The 15,276-nt window shown below is 47.7% G+C and overlaps 1 protein-coding gene across 17 annotated transcripts in view, besides 2 other annotated features; it reads left to right on the top strand.

Annotated features, from left to right (window-relative positions):
• The window catches only part of SLC37A3 (solute carrier family 37 member 3), a 64,779-nt gene that overhangs the window by 33,702 nt on the left and 15,801 nt on the right, over window positions 1-15,276 (top strand). For 6 of the 17 annotated variants that reach the window (NM_001363378.1, NM_032295.4, NM_001363374.1 and 3 more), the window contains exons 5-9: window positions 338-421; window positions 6,044-6,189; window positions 9,065-9,161; window positions 12,683-12,767; window positions 13,378-13,556. In NM_001363378.1, the coding sequence (NP_001350307.1) occupies window positions 338-421; window positions 6,044-6,189; window positions 9,065-9,161; window positions 12,683-12,767; window positions 13,378-13,556 (591 nt within the window). Of the gene's footprint in view, window positions 1-337; window positions 422-6,043; window positions 6,190-9,064; window positions 9,162-12,682; window positions 12,768-12,859; window positions 13,557-15,276 lie in introns of all 17 variants that reach the window. The other 11 variants (XM_047420950.1, XM_047420949.1, XM_047420947.1 and 8 more) reach the window with 4 other exon arrangements.
• Window positions 753-1,616: an enhancer, noted in NCBI's record as "NANOG-H3K27ac-H3K4me1 hESC enhancer chr7:140063013-140063876 (GRCh37/hg19 assembly coordinates)". NCBI's record gives its function as "activates a minimal SCP1, AML or CMV promoter by ChIP-STARR-seq in naive H9 embryonic stem cells {active_cell/tissue: H9 hESC(naive)}" and the evidence as "EXISTENCE:reporter gene assay evidence [ECO:0000049][PMID:30033119]".
• Window positions 5,178-5,227: an enhancer, noted in NCBI's record as "active region_26778". NCBI's record gives its function as "activates an Ori minimal core promoter by ATAC-STARR-seq in GM12878 lymphoblastoid cells {active_cell/tissue: GM12878}" and the evidence as "EXISTENCE:reporter gene assay evidence [ECO:0000049][PMID:35858748]".

Genomic DNA, 15,276 nt, shown 5'->3' with positions numbered 1-15,276 from the left:
TTTTTTCCAGTTAGGGAATCAAGTAAAACCAAAGTTTGCCCTGAACTTTGGTGTGTTTGTGGTAGAGTGTGCCCGCTGCCATTTCTTTTTTTTTTTAATATTTTTTTCCTTCTATTTTCATAACTTTTTTGTTTTCACTGTATTACTGACCATGTTATCCAGCCCACTGCCATTTCATGAAACATTTGTGAAACTCCTGTAGACAGGTAGCCTCGGCATGTGTATAAGAGTTAATTTTAAATAATATCTGTGTTTGTCTCATTTGCTTTGCAGTGCATGTTACTTTTTCATACTGTGTTATTATTTAGAGCTGTAAAAGAAAATGCTTTATTTTTAGGGCCTATTCATCAGTGGCATCGTTGGGGATCGGTTGAATTTGCGATGGGTTCTGTCTTTTGGCATGTGCTCTTCTGCATTAGTGGTAAGTTGAAAGGTCTTATTATTATTATTTTGGTCAGGTATTTTAGAATCTAAGTAATCTCCCTACTTCTCTGTAGAATAGAATAGTAAGATTAATCCTCATTGTTCGAATCCCTCATTTGCCTTTTCACTTAGATGAGTCTTTTTTTTCCCCCCCGAGACAGAATCTTGCTCTATTACCCCAGGCTGGAGTGCAGTGGTGCGATCTCAGCTCACTGCAACCTCTGCCTCCCATGTTCAAGCGATTCTGCTGCCTCAGCCTCCTGAGCAGCTGGGACTATAGGTACAGCTCACCACGCCTGGGTGATTTTTGTATTTTTGGTAGAGACGGGGTTTCACCATGTTGGCCAGTCTTATCTCCTGGCCTCAGGTGATCCTCCTGCCTTGGCCTCCCAAAGTGCTGGGATTACAGGCATGAGCCACTGCGCCTGGCCAGATGAGTCTTTTTAAAGTAAGATTCTAATCAGGTTCCTTTGTTGTCCCTCAGGCACCAGCAGAGTTAATTAATAGTCTGAATAAATGGCCTGGCATTCACTACACCCTGGCCCCAGCCTGCCTTCCCATCATATTTGTCACTCTGCTTCATCGCTTTGCTCCAGCCAAGCTGGACTGCTTTCCAGGCCGCTAACATCCCGCTCCTTTCTTTTTTTTTTTTTTTTTTTTTTTTTGAGGCGGAGTTTTGCTCTTTTTTTTTTATTTTTTTATTTATTTTTTTTTTATTGATCATTCTTGGGTGTTTCTCGCAGAGGGGGATTTGGCAGGGTCATAGGACAATAGTGGAGGGAAGGTCAGCAGATAAACAAGTGAACAAAGGTCTCTGGTTTTCCTAGGCAGAGGACCCTGCGGCCTTCCGAAGTGTTTGTGTCCCTGGGTACTTAAGATTAGGGAGTGGTGATGACTCTTAACGAGCCTGCTGCCTTCAAGCATCTGTTTAACAAAGCACATCTTGCACCGCCCTTAATCCATTTAACCCTGAGTGGACACAGCACATGTTTCAGAGAGCACAGGGTTGGGGATAAGGTCACAGATCAACAGGATCCCAAGGCAGAAGAATTTTTCTTAGTACAGAACAAAATGAAAAGTCTCCCATGTCTACTTCTATCCACACAAACCCGGCAACCATCCGATTTCTCAATTTTTTCCCCACCCTTCCCGCCTTTCTATTCCACAAAACCGCCATTGTCATCATGGCCCATCCCCAATGAGCCGCTGGGCACACCTCCCAGACGGGGTCGTGGCCGGGCAGAGGGGCTCCTCACTTCCCAGTAGGGGCGGCCGGGCAGAAGCGCCCCTCACCTCCCGGATGGGGCGGCTGGCCGGGCGGGGGGCTGACCCCCCCCACCACCCTCCCTGACGGGGCGGCTGGCCGGGCAGAGGGGTCCTCACTTCCCATTAGGGGCGGCCGGGCAGAGGCGCCCCTCACCTCCCGGCCGGGGCGGCCGGCTGGGCGGGGGGCTGACCCCGCCACCTCCCTCCCGGACAGGGCGGCTGGCCGACCCCCCCCCCCGCCTCCCTCCCGGACGGGGCGGCTGGCCGGGCAGAGGGGCTCCTCGCTTCCCAGTAGGGGCGGCCGGGCAGAGGCGCCCCTCACCTCCGGGACGGGGCGGCTGGCCAGGCGGGGGGCTGATCCCCCCACCTCCCTCCCGGACGGGGCGGCTGGCCGGGTGGGGGGCTGACCCCCCACCTCCCTCCCGGACTGGGCGGCTGGCCGGGCAGGGGGCTGACCCCCCCCCCCACCTCCCTCCCGGACGGGGCGGCTGGCCGGGCAGAGGGGTCCTCACTTCCCAGTAGGGGCAGCCGGGCAGAGGCGCCCCTCACCTCCCGGACGGGGCGGCTGGCCGGGCGGGGGGCTGACCCCCCACCTCCCTCCCGGACGGGGCGGCTGGCCGGGCAGAGGGGTCCTCACTTCCCGGTAGGGGCGGCCGGGCAGAGGCGCCCCTCACCTCCCAGACGGGGCGGCTGGCCGGGCGGGGGGCTGACCCCCCCCCCCACCTCCCTCCCGGACGGGGCGGCTGCCGGGCGGAGACGCTCCTCACTTCCCAGACGGGGTGGCTGCCGGACGGAGGGGCTCCTCACTTCTCAGACGGGGCGGTTGCCAGGCAGAGGGTTTCCTCACTTCTCAGACGGGGCGGCCGGGCAGAGACGCTCCTCACCTCCCAGACAGGGTTGCGGCCCAGCAGAGGCGCTCCTCACATCCCAGACAGGGCGGCGGGGCAGAGGCGCTCCCCACATCTCAGACAATGGGCGGCGGGGAAGAGGCGCTCCTCGCTTCCTAGATGGGATGGCGGCCGGGAAGAGGCGCTCCTCACTTCCTAGATGGGATGGTGGCCGGGCAGAGACGCTCCTCACTTTCCAGACTGGGCAGCCAGGCAGAGAGGCTCCTCATATCCCAGACGATGGGGGGCCAGGCAGAGACGCTCCTCACTTCCCAGACAGGGTGGCGGCTGGGCAGAGGCTGCAATCTCGGCACTTTGGGGGGCCAAGGCAGGCAGCTGGGAGGTGGAGGTTGTAGCGAGCCGAGATCACGCCACTGCACTCCAGCCTGGGCACCATTGAGCACTGAGTGAACGAGACTCCGTCTGCAATCCCGGCACCTCGGGAGGCCGAGGCTGGCGGATCACTCGCGGTTAGGAGCTGGAGACCAGCCCGGCCGACACAGCAAAACCCCGTCTCCACCAAAAAAAAAACGAAAACCAGTCAGGCGTGGCGGCGCGCGCCTGCAATCGCAGGCACTCGGCAGGCTGAGGCAGGAGAATCAGGCAGGGAGGTTGCAGTGAGCCGAGATGGCAGCAGTACCGTCCAGCTTTGGCTCGGCATCAGAGGGAGACCGTGGAAGGAGACCGTGGAGAGAGAGGGAGACGGAGAGGGAGAGAGGGAGGGGGAGGGGGAGGGGGAGGGGGAGGGGGAGGGGGAGGGAGAGGCTGTGTGTCCGGAGTTTTGCTCTTGTTGCCCAGGCTGGAGTGGAATGGCACAATCTTGGCTCACCACAACCTCCACCTCCCAGGTTCAAGCGATTCTCATGCCTCAGCCTCCTGAGTAGCTGGGATTACAAGCATGCACCACCACACCTGACTAACTTTTTTATTTTTAGTAAAGACGGGTTTCTCCATGTTGGTCAGGCTGGTCTCGAACTCCCGACCTCAGGTGATCCGCCCACCTCGGCCTCCCAAAGTGCTGGGATTACAGGTGTGAGCCACCGCACCTGGCCCTATCCTGCTCCTTTCTATCTCGGTGCTTTTGTTTCTCCTGTTCTGCCTGCCTTGGATGGTCCCCTTTTCAGCTCTCCATAGTCTAACTCACAGTCTCCTTCAAGCATTGGCCAAATGACACCTCTTTGAGAATGTCAGTCCCGCTTCTGAGCTGCAGTGCCTGTTTCTTTGCAGGCACTTGAAACAGTCTGCCGCTTAGCTTGGTTATTTCTGGTTCAGTCTTGCTTTCCCTTAGGGTGGGTATGCAGTGGTTAAAATCACAGATTCCCTAGACAAGGACAGCCTGGGTTTCTGTCTGTCTTCTGTGGTTTTCTAGCTTATGATTTCTGTGAGCTTCAGAGGGAGATGGGCATATTAGCTCTCCCCGGGTGGCAGTGAGGACTGTGAGTTTCTGTATGTGAGGCATTTGAAACAAGTGCTGTGTAGGGGAGGATCCATATCTGATTAATCTTTTTTTTTTTTTTTTTAAACGGAGTCTTGCTCTGTCACCCAAGCTGGAGTGCAGTGGCATGATCTTGGCTCACTGCAACCTCCACTTCCCAGATTCAAGCCATTCTCCTGTTTTAGCCTCCTGAGTAGCTGGGACTACAGGTGTGCACCACCATTCCCGGCTAATTTTTGTATTTTTAGTAGAGTCAGGGTTTCACCATGTTGGCCAGGCTAGTCTTGAACTCCTGACCTCAGGTGATCTGCCCACCCCAGCCTCCCAAAGTGCTGGGATTACAGGGGTGAGCCACCGTGCCCAGCCTCCATATCTGACTAATCGTCATTGCTTACTAGCTTCTAGTCAGGAATTTTTGTTGATTAAATGAAACCATGGAGTTTAGTTAGACCCTAATTTATTATGATTATTATTTTTTTAGAGATAAGGTCTCGATTTGCTGCCCAGGCTGGAGTGCAGCGGTGTGATCCTGCAGCCTTGAACTCCCAAGCTCGAGCAATCCTCCCATTTTAGCCTCCCGTGTAGCTGGGACTGTAGGTGTGTACCATCATGCTTAGCTAATTTTTAAATTTTTTAGTCATGGGGTCTCACTATATTGCCCAGGTTGTTCCTTGAACTCCTGGCCTTAAGTGATCCTCCCTCCTTTGCCTCCGCAAACACTGGAATTACCGGCACAAGTCCCTGCGTTTGGCCTACTATTGTTTTTCAGTGTTTGTCATTTGAGTGTAAGTAAAACCTTTTTTCCCCTTGACATTTTAGAGATGGAAGCACTTTATTTATTTATGAGTTGCTCACCCACACATAATAAACATATTATTTTAAAACCTGTGTACAGACTTTTTTGTGTTTTATGTATTTTTTAAAAACTGCAGTTTGTACATAAACTTGCCCTTTTTAAGCATATTGTTCAGACTTTTCAACAAATGAGTAGTTTTGTGACCGCCCCTTCTTTCTCCAGCCCCTGGCAACCCCTGATCATTTTTCTGTGTACAGTTTTACTTATTCCAGAATGTCTTGTAACTGGAACTAGACAGTATTATACATACTATTTTTTAATCATGCAGAGTATTCTCAGAATAGAGTTTGACTGTAGATAAAATGTCCACTTGAGCAAAATGCCTGGAAAAAAGCAGCCCCTTGATGAAAGCTGCTAAATGATTCAGCAGATCACAAGTTTGATAGGTTTCGCTTTCGTTGATTAACTCAGGAGCTGTAGCCATAACAGTGGCTGGCATGCGCCCCGTGCCTCTGCCCATAGCAGCACCTGGCACTGCTCCGGGAAAGGTGGCCTCCCTGGGCTCGTTCTGTCCTCACAGCAGCCCTCTGGAGGTTGCTGTTCCCTCCACATGCACAGTCTGAGGGTGAGGAGATGGAAATACATGTAAAATGAGGAATTACTTTTTTTTTTTTTTTTTGAGACAGAGTCTCGCACTCCCGCGCAGGCTGGAGTGCAGTGGCACGATCTTGGCTCACTGCAAGCTCCACCTCCCAGGTTCATGCCATTCTCCTGCCTCAGCCTCCTGAGTAGCTGGGACTACAGGCACCTGCCACCACGCCTAGCTAATTTTTTATAATTTCATTAGAGACGGGGTTTCACCGTGTTAGCCAGGATGGTCTCGATTTCCTGACCTTGTGATCTGCCCTCCTCGGCCTCCCAAAGTGCTGAGATTACAGGCGTGAGCCCGGCCTGGAATTCACTTTTTAGCCTTGAAGATGTCAGTTGGAGGGCTGATAGCTTAATGACTTTATGTCTTTGGCATCTCCTCCTCTCTGGTGGGCAGTGATTGGGTGGCTGCCTCCTCACTGTGGCTCTGAGCAGGACCTTTGTGATGCTGGCCACGTGACTTACAGGCACTGGCTGTGTGAGTGTATCCTTCACGTGGTCTCTACTCTGAAGCAAGTGGGTAGAGTGGCGTCCACTGAAAGTGTCAGTGTGGCTGTTACATATTCCTTTTGTTTCCTCCTCTTCAAGGTGTTTGTCTTTGGTGCGCTCACAGAATGGCTGCGTTTCTACAACAAATGGCTGTACTGCTGCCTGTGGATTGTGAACGGCCTGCTGCAGTCCACTGGTTGGCCCTGTGTGGTTGCTGTTATGGGCAACTGGTTTGGGAAAGCCGGGTATGCCACTTCCTTCCTCTCTAATTTCTCTGTTTAAGTGGTTTCCATGGTGGATTTTTCAGACTTGTCAAAGTCAGTTACTTTGCTGCCTTAGATACCACCCACATCTTTCGTTAGCAAGTCAGAGTTGTTCAGGGAGAGAGGGTTTCACGTCAGTGTGCGTTGGAAATGGTGTGGACCTTAGAAGTCATCCAGCCTAGGAGACACACTCCTACCACTCTTTGGGCTGTGGGCAGATTCTGAGTGTGGGCCAAGGCAGGAGGTCTCAATTTTTTATTTTACTCATCGTTTCTTTATAGAACATAAAAATCTCATTTACTATCCATCATGTATCTTCCTTTGGGTTTTGCCTTCCCTGCCCTTTTTTGAGAGTGATCTTATTTAACCTTTTTACATTAAAGATAAGGAAATTAAGGTCAAAGGTTATTCATGTTGACCTGCCCAAGGTCATGTAACAAGGGCTCTAATTAGACTCAGATGAAGAACGCCAGACTTTGGGGCTTGATCAAATGGGGTATTTTTTCCCTCTAAACCTTCAAGGAGCTTTTTTTTCTTTTTTGTTTTTGAGACAGAGTCTTGCTCTGTCACCAGGCTGGAGTGCAGTGGGGTGATCTCGGCTCACTGCAACCTTCGCCTCCGGGGTTCAAGTGATTCTCCTGCCTCAGCCTCCCAAGTAGCTGGGATTACAGGTGTGTACCACCATGTCCAGCTAATTTTTTTTTTTTTTTTGAGATGGAGTTTTGCTCTTGTTGCCCATTGCAATGGCGCGATCTCGGCTCACTGCAACCTCCGCCTCCCAGGTTCAAGCGATTCTCCTGCTGTAGCCTCCTGAGTAGCTGGGATTACAGGCATGTGCCCCCACACCTGGCTAGTTTTGCATTTTTAGTACAGATGGGGTTTCTCCATGTTGGTCAGGCTGGTCTCGATCTCCTGACCTCAGGTGATTTCGCCCGCCTCAGCCTTCCAAAGTGCTGGGATTACAGGCATGAGCCACCGCACCCAGCCATAATTTTATATATAAATGGAATCATACAGTATGTACTCTTTTTTTGAGTCATCTTTTTTTTTTTTTTTTCCTGTAGAGAAAGGGTCTGTGTTGCCCAGGCTGGTCTCAATTTCATGGCCTCAAGCTATTCTGCCTCGGCCTCCCGAAGTGCTGGGAATATAGGCATGAGCCACCACACCCAGCCTTTGTGTCTTCTTTCATTCAGCATAATTATAAATTTATTCATGTTTATTCATTCACCTGTGGATGAACATTTGGGTTGTTTTCAGTTTTGGGCGGTTACAAATAAAGCTCCTGGGAACATTTGTGTACAAATCCTTGTGTGGACATATGCTTTCATTTCTCTTGGGTAAATATCTAGGGGTAGAATGGCTGGATCATATGCTAGGTTTGTATTTCCCTTTTTTTTGTTTTTCCCCAGGACAGAGTTTCGCTCTTACTGCCCAGGCTGGAGTGCAATGGCGTGATCTCGGCTCACCTCAGCCTCCACCTCCTGGGTTCAAGCAATTCTCCTTCCTCAGCCTCCCGAGTAGCTGGGATTACAGGGGCCCGCCACCATGCCCAGCTAATTTTTTGTATTTTTAGTGGAGATGGGGTTTCTCCATGTTGGCCAGGCTGGTCTTGAACTCCTGACCTCAGGTGATCCACCCACCTTGGCCTCCCAAAGTGCTGGGACTATAGGCGTAGCTACTGCGCCTGGCTGCGTTTACCATTTTAAGACACTGGCAGTCTCTTCCAAGGTGGTCGTACCATTTTACATTCCCATCAGCAGAGCATAAGGGTTCTTATTGCTCTGTGCCCTTCCCAACACTTGGCGTGCTTGGTGTTTTTTGATTTTAGCCATTCTAATAGGTGTGTAATGATATCGCATTGTGACTTTAATTTCCATTTTTCTAATATCTAATGACGTTGAGCATCTTTTTAAAAACATTTTTGCTTTGTTTTGCTTTTGAAACAGGGTCTCGCCCTGTCACCCAGGCTGGAGTATAGTGGTGCGATCTCGGCTCACTGCAACCTCCGCCTCCTGGTTTCAAGTGATTCTCTTGCCTCAGCCTCCCAAGTAGCTGGGATTATAGGTGTGCAGCCACCATGTGCAGCTAATTTTTGTATTTTTAGTAGAGACGGGGTTTCGCCGTGTTGGTCAGGCTAGTCTCAAACTCCTGACCTCAAGTGACCTGCCCACCTCAGGCCTCCCAAAGGCTGAGATTACAGGCGTGAGCCCTCGCCTGGCCACTTGAGTGTTTTTTCGTGTGCTTCTTTGTATATTTTTTTGTGTGAAGTATCTATTAAAATCTTTTGCCCACTTTTCAAAGACTTTGTATTTTGAGATGATTGTAGATTCATGCTTTTTAACATACTATTGCATTGTCTGTTGTCATATTTTACTGAGTTTTGAGGGCCTTATATTCTGGATTTTTTTGTTTTGTTTTTTTTTTTTGGGAGGTGGAGTCTCGCTTTGTTGTCAAGGCTGGAGTGCAGTGGCGTGATCTCGGCTTACTGCAACCTCTGCCTCATGGGTTCAAGCTATTCTCTTGCCTCAGTCTTCCGAGTAGCTGGGATTACAGGCGCCTGCCACCACGCCCAACTGATTTTGTATTTTTAGTAGAGATGGGGTTTCTCCATGTTGGTCAGGCTGGTCTCGAACTCCTGACCTCAGGTGATCTGTCCGCCTTGGCCTCCCAAAGTACTGGGATTACAGGTGTGAGCCACTGCGCCCAGCCCATTTTAGTGTATTTTTAAAAACTTTTTAAATAGCATGTTTAGTCTTGGTAGTATGCACCTTGGTTGTTTTGGCTGTTTTGTATTTTGAACTGCCCAGAGTATCTCTTCTGACCATGGCCCTTTGTCTCCCACTGTTTTCCATCTTAGACGAGGAGTTGTTTTTGGTCTCTGGAGTGCCTGTGCTTCGGTGGGCAACATTTTGGGAGCGTGCCTAGCTTCTTCTGTTCTTCAGTATGGTTATGAGGTAGGTATTGTTTTCTAGCTCTGGTGCTCTCTCTCTCTCTCTGTGTGCACATGTGTATTGCTTTTTATGTATTAAATAATACTGTGGCCATTTAAAACTATGTAGAACTGTGTCTGGATAGGGCAAGGCTTGTATTAAAAGTAGACAAACTTCTGGCCGGGTGTGGTGGCTCACGCCTATAACCCCAGCACTTTGGGAGGCCAAGGCAGGCGGATCAGCCGAGGTCGGGAGTTTGAGACCAGTTTGGCCAACATGGTGAAACCTCGTCTCTACTCAAAAAATACAAAAATTAGCTGGGTGTGGTGGCGCATGCCTATAATCCCAGCTACTCTGGAGGCTGAGGCAGGAGAATCGTTTGAACCCACGAGGCGGAGGTTGCAGTGAGCCAAGGTCGCACCGCTTCACTCCAGCCTGGGTGACAGAGTGAGACTCTGTTCAGAAATAAATTAATTAAAAAAAAAAAAGTAGACAAACTTCTGATATATTCATTAAAAGTAGATAAACTTCTGATATATTCAAACACATAAAAAATTATTCGTAACAAAAACACTATGGAGAGTCTAAAGACATATAACCAGTTGAGAAGTATTTGCAACTCATGTTACAGATAAAGGACTAATCTGGGTCAGGCATGGTGGCTCACGCCTGTAATCCCAGCACTTTGGGAGGCTGAAGTAGAAGGATCACTTGAGCCCAGGAGTTCAAGATCAGCCTGGGCAATATAATGAGACCTTGTACCTACAAAAAAACTAAAAAATTAGCTGAGTGTGGGGGTGTATGCCTATAGTCTCTGCTATTCAGGAGGCTGAGGTGGGAGGATTGATTGCTTGAGCCTGGGAGCTGGAGGGTACAGTGAGCCAAGATACACCACTGCACTCCAATCTTGGTGATGGAGCAAGACCCTGTCTCAAAAAAAAAAAAAAAAAACACCAAAAAGCAAAGACTAATCCCCCCTAATATGTAAAGAGCATCCATGAATTGATAAGAAAAAGACCAACAACAGAAAGATACAGAATTTGAATGTATAGCTCATGTAAAGCATGTAGGAATGGCTTGTAAACATATGTAAAATATTCTACTCACTGCTTATTCATTTAATAAATATTTAACTCCCTGTATATGCTCTTGGAACTATAGAATATAGAACTGACCAACAGGGACAAAAATCTCTGTTCTTATGGAACTTAGCAGGGAAATGCAAATTAAAGCTATGTTGTTTAAAAAAAAAAAAGGAAGAAAAACTATACTGTATACTTATTAGACTAAAAATCCAAAAGTTTGAAAACATGTTGTACTTTTAAGAACCTGAAGAGACAGGCATTGCAGTTGAAAGACTAACAGAGTCACTAACTCATGGAGGGGTCAATATGGAAGTGTCTGTCAAAATTACAACTACGCACACTGAGTAGTTCCACCTCCAGGAATTATTCACACAGATGAATAGACTAAAACACATGCAAATGATGCATCTACAAGATTCTTTATTTTGGCATTGTTTATAATAGCCAAAGAGTGAACACAACTGTCAGCGAACAGGGACATAGTTCAACCATGATAAACCTGTTGAAAGCAATGCTGTGCACCTGTGAAGTCGAATGAGGAAGCTCTGTATGAACTGATAGCAGTGCACTGCAGCAATCTCAAAAGTGTGCTAAGTGGGCCAGGTGTGGTGGCTCACGCCTGTAATCCCAGCACTTTGGGAGGCTGAGGCAGGTGGATCACGAGGTCAGGAGTTCAAGACCAGCCTGGCCAACATGATGAAACCCTGTCTCTACTAAAAATACAAAAATTAGCCGGGCGTGGTCACGGGCACCTGTAATCCCAGCTACTCCAGAGGCTGAGGCAGAGAATTGCTTGAATCCAAGAGGCGGAGGTTGCAGTGAGCCAAGATCATGCCATTGCACTCCAGCCTGAGTGACAAAGCGAGACTCCGTATCAAAAAAAAAACAAAACAAAACAGTGTGCTAAGTGAAGACAGCAAGGGTGCAAAACTGTGTATTGAATGCCATTTATGTAAGAAGGAAGAATGAAAGAGAATATGCTTGTATTAGCTTGTATGTTTCCAAAACAATTTCTGGGCAGTAAAAATGAACAACAATGGTTATATGTTGGGAAAATCGGGAGAATTGAGCAGATGGGGAAGGTGGGGTAGGAAGGAGAGTTTTTACTGTACTTTCTTTTTTTTTTTTCCAAGACAGAGTCTCACTCTGTCACCTAGGCTGGAGTGCAATGGCGTGATCTCAGCTCACCGCAACCTCCTGGGTTCAGGAGATTCTCCTGCCTCAGCCTCCCGAGTAGCTGGGATTACAGGTGTACGCCACCACGCCTGGGTAATTTTTGTATTTTTAGTAGAGATGGGGTTTCACCATGTTGGCCAGGCTAGTCTTGAACTCCTGACCTCAGGTGATCCGCCCACCTCGGCCTCCCAAAGTGCTGGGATTATAGGTATGAGCCACCGTGCCCAGCTTGACTGTACCTCTTATTCCTCTGTTGCTTGAATCATGTGAATATATTACCTACTCAAAAACCTAAATTATTAAAGGTAAGTTCGCTCTTTTAAAAGGTAGATACATTTTTAAACAGCTCACCAAGAATTTTGGTGTAGTTAGGGTCAGTGAGAAGTCCTTCATTCCCTTCATTCATGGCCACCTTTATTCTAGGCTTCTTAGCCTCACACCTGGATTGTATAGTTGGTTCAGATGAAAATTTCAGTTCACCTTCTGAGCTGCTCTCAGATTTGACTTCTGGAAACACTAATTTTGTCACTCATCGGTTTAAAAATTCAGTGTCCACATCAGGTTCCATTCTCTGTTAAATAAAAATTCAGCTGTGCAGCCTGGGGGTTGAGAGTCTTTAATCTAGCTGTCACCTTTCCAAATCAGTTTTCTTCCTGATTATCCCCTAGCAGAAGCCCTCTCCTTGAGTCGTGCAGTAAGCTTTCTATCTCCTTCCACCCTGTGTCTTTGCTTACCGTGTGCCTGGAAAGATGGGCAATTGACTTTGATTTTCCATTCTTCCCTAAGACATTGTCTTACTGCTTCAACCTCTTCAGCTCTTTCCTTCATCTGGATTCCCGTATATGTTTCTCAGTAGGATTGGGCCTTCTCATCTATTCAGCTTCTTGGTGCTTTATAATATTGTTTCATGTATTTAATCCCCTCAACTGTATGTAATATCTTTGAGGGCAGATACTGTCTTTTATGAGAGGCTATGTGATACAAAGACCTAGATTTTTGGAGCTAGTCTAATTTCACAATCATAACAGTACCACTTAGTATCCAGGGGAGCTTCATTCTCCTCTCTGAGCCTCATACAATCACCAGGAAGAATTAAATGAGAAAACACGAGTAGAACACTTTGCATGGCGCCCGGCCCAGTAGAAGCTCTGGGTGCTCCCTTGCTTCCCGGTCTCCCTTCCCACCTCTCCCCCACCCCCACCTTCCCCCACACACCTTTAATGAATGTGCTTGTGATGACTGTCCCCAGATATGTAAGGACCACCTTTCACCCCTCTCCTCCAGTATGCCTTTCTGGTGACGGCGTCTGTGCAGTTTGCTGGTGGGATCGTTATCTTCTTTGGACTCCTGGTGTCACCAGAAGAAATTGGTGAGGAGAAGCCGCCCCTTCTATTCCGAATGTCTTACTATTATGGCCGAAAGGAAATCTGAGGCCAAGAAATCGAATCTCTTTTTTCCTAGGAAAACTCTGAGCTCCTTTTAGTGAGTGAAAGGAGAACAGTACTGCCGTTTGAGTCCTGTCGACATTGTAGCCAGCCCCTGGCACAGCTGGACGTGTTTGAGGGGAGTGATGCACGTCTTTTATAGATACAGGAAAATCTTCGCATTTGCAAATTATTTTTATAATTGAGACACTGGCAAGGAATGAACATAGATGTATTTCTGATTTCACTTCTTGAAACATTTCTTTTCATCCATAAAAATGATGCACAAAAAAGATACTTAACCTGTAGTTAAATACAGATTACATACAAATGAAACCACAGAAGCAAACAGATGTACAATTCTTCTATCTTTTGAGTATTTTTAGATAGACTGTGTGACTTTAATTGACCTTAGTTGACCTCGGTCTCTGGACCTTCGTTGCTGCTTCTGTAAAATGGAAATAAAAATAACATCACCTCATAAGTAGGGATGTATGCAGAGCCCTTCACACGTGGTAGGCACTCCATAAACAGTGGCTGTCGCTGTTATTTTAGGTCTCTCGGGTATTGAGGCAGAAGAAAACTTTGAAGAAGACTCACACAGGCCATTAATTAATGGTGGTGAAAATGAAGACGAATATGAGCCGAATTATTCAATCCAAGATGATAGTTCTGTTGCCCAAGTCAAGGCGATAAGCTTCTACCAGGCATGTTGCCTTCCTGGAGTCATACCGGTAAGGACCGCTTACATCTTACCACAGCCAGGGAGGTATGAGAGCCCGTGACATCTCCTCTGCCTGAGATAAAGCTTCCTTAAGTATTGAGCCTCTGTTGGATACTTTATTTTAGGAATATACGTGCTGAGGAATGTTGTCTAGTGCCCCTCAGCTTATCTGATCTCTAATGCAGGGGTTGACAAACCTTTTCCATGAAGAGGCAGAGAATAAATATTTTTGACTTCGGGGAACCATCCAGTCTCTCCCCCAACTACTCAGCTTTGTAGAACAAAATAAGCCACAGAAAACATGGGACAGTTAGACGTGGCCAGACTTGGCCAAAGAGCTCTGCTTTCCTGACCCTGATCTGGTATGTGATTAAAAAGGCAAAATTGATAATTTTTAATGTGTGCTTTTGGGCCTTTCGAAGTATTATAGAATTATATGTGGACCAAGAAGAAGGGTTGTGAATGGTTCCTAAGTCTGCCTTGCCCCCTTTTATTTTTTATTTATTTATTTATGATTTTGGGACGGAGTGTCGCTCTGTCACCCAGGCTGGAGTGCAGTGGCGCAGTCTCGGCTCACTGCAACCTCTGCCTCCCGGGTTCAAGCGATTCTCCTGCCTCAGCCTCCCGAGTAGCTGGGATTACAGGTGCATGCCACCATGCTTGGCTAATTTTTTGTATTTTTAGTAGAGACAGGGTTTCACTGTGTTAGCCGGGATGGTCTCCATCTCTTGATCTCATGGTCTGCCCACTTTGGCCTCCCAGAATGCTGGGATTACAGGCGTGAGCCACCGCGCCTGGCTTGCCCCCTTTTAAAGGGTCCAGAAGAGAGCACTCCACAGTCTTTCTTGGTAATGCATTCCAGTGTTTTCCACAGCCTGTGCAGTCAGGAAAGCCTTCTAACGTCTACACTAAATCCCTTCTGCTGCAGTTTTTCTGTCTTGATGTTTCGGGCACTCTAGCACTGGAGTGGAAGTTAAGAGGCCTAGGTTATGTTTCCAGCTTACCCACTAACTTTCTGTGACACCTGGGGTGAGTCACGCAACCCGTCCGTGTGTCTCAGTTCCCCTTCCCATGGAATAGAAATTATTCCACTCTTCCCTGGGGCCTGTAACATTGGGCTGTTGTGTTTTGAACAAGCACCTGTTGTTATTTCATTTGTCAATGGTGCTTTATGAATGTGATCCCTCAGGTAGAGTGATCTGTAGGCCATCTTAATACATGCCTGTCAATCCCCTTCTGTCAGTGCCTCCAAGCTGAGAGAACTAACATTTCCAACAAAGTTAAGTATGAATTAAAATGTAATTTTCCACAATTCTTTAACCCAGTGATGATATATGATATAAGAGAAATGCAGGTTGCTTTAGACCTGTTCTTATGCTATTGATTATTATCTTTTAACTGGTTTTTAAAGTACTCTGCTGGTAATAGTTTAATTTTTGAGAAAGAACTTTGTCGTGACTAAATATGGACCTCTTTTGCTGTTCCTTTGTTCTTCACAAGCTATTGTTCTCTGACATGGGCAGGGATGTAAAGGAAATCTAGTTAACTTAATTCCTTTGTCTTTGTAGCAGGCTGTCTGGTCAGAATGCACTCGTGATTGGGATTTGGCTCTCTAGGGGGTGGCTGTTGCCTGCCAGGGAAGCTGTTTTAAAACAAGTGATACCTAGGGAATAACTGGCAGCTCCAGGGAAAAGAATATACTAGCCAGACACCCTTTGAAGTCAGCCCCT

This window comes from Homo sapiens, chromosome 7 (assembly GCF_000001405.40).
Source record: "Homo sapiens chromosome 7, GRCh38.p14 Primary Assembly".
NCBI classification, from domain to species: domain Eukaryota; kingdom Metazoa; phylum Chordata; class Mammalia; order Primates; family Hominidae; genus Homo; species Homo sapiens.
The sequence above is the reverse complement of the archived record's forward strand: the minus strand, read 5'-3'. Positions and strand labels throughout refer to the sequence as shown.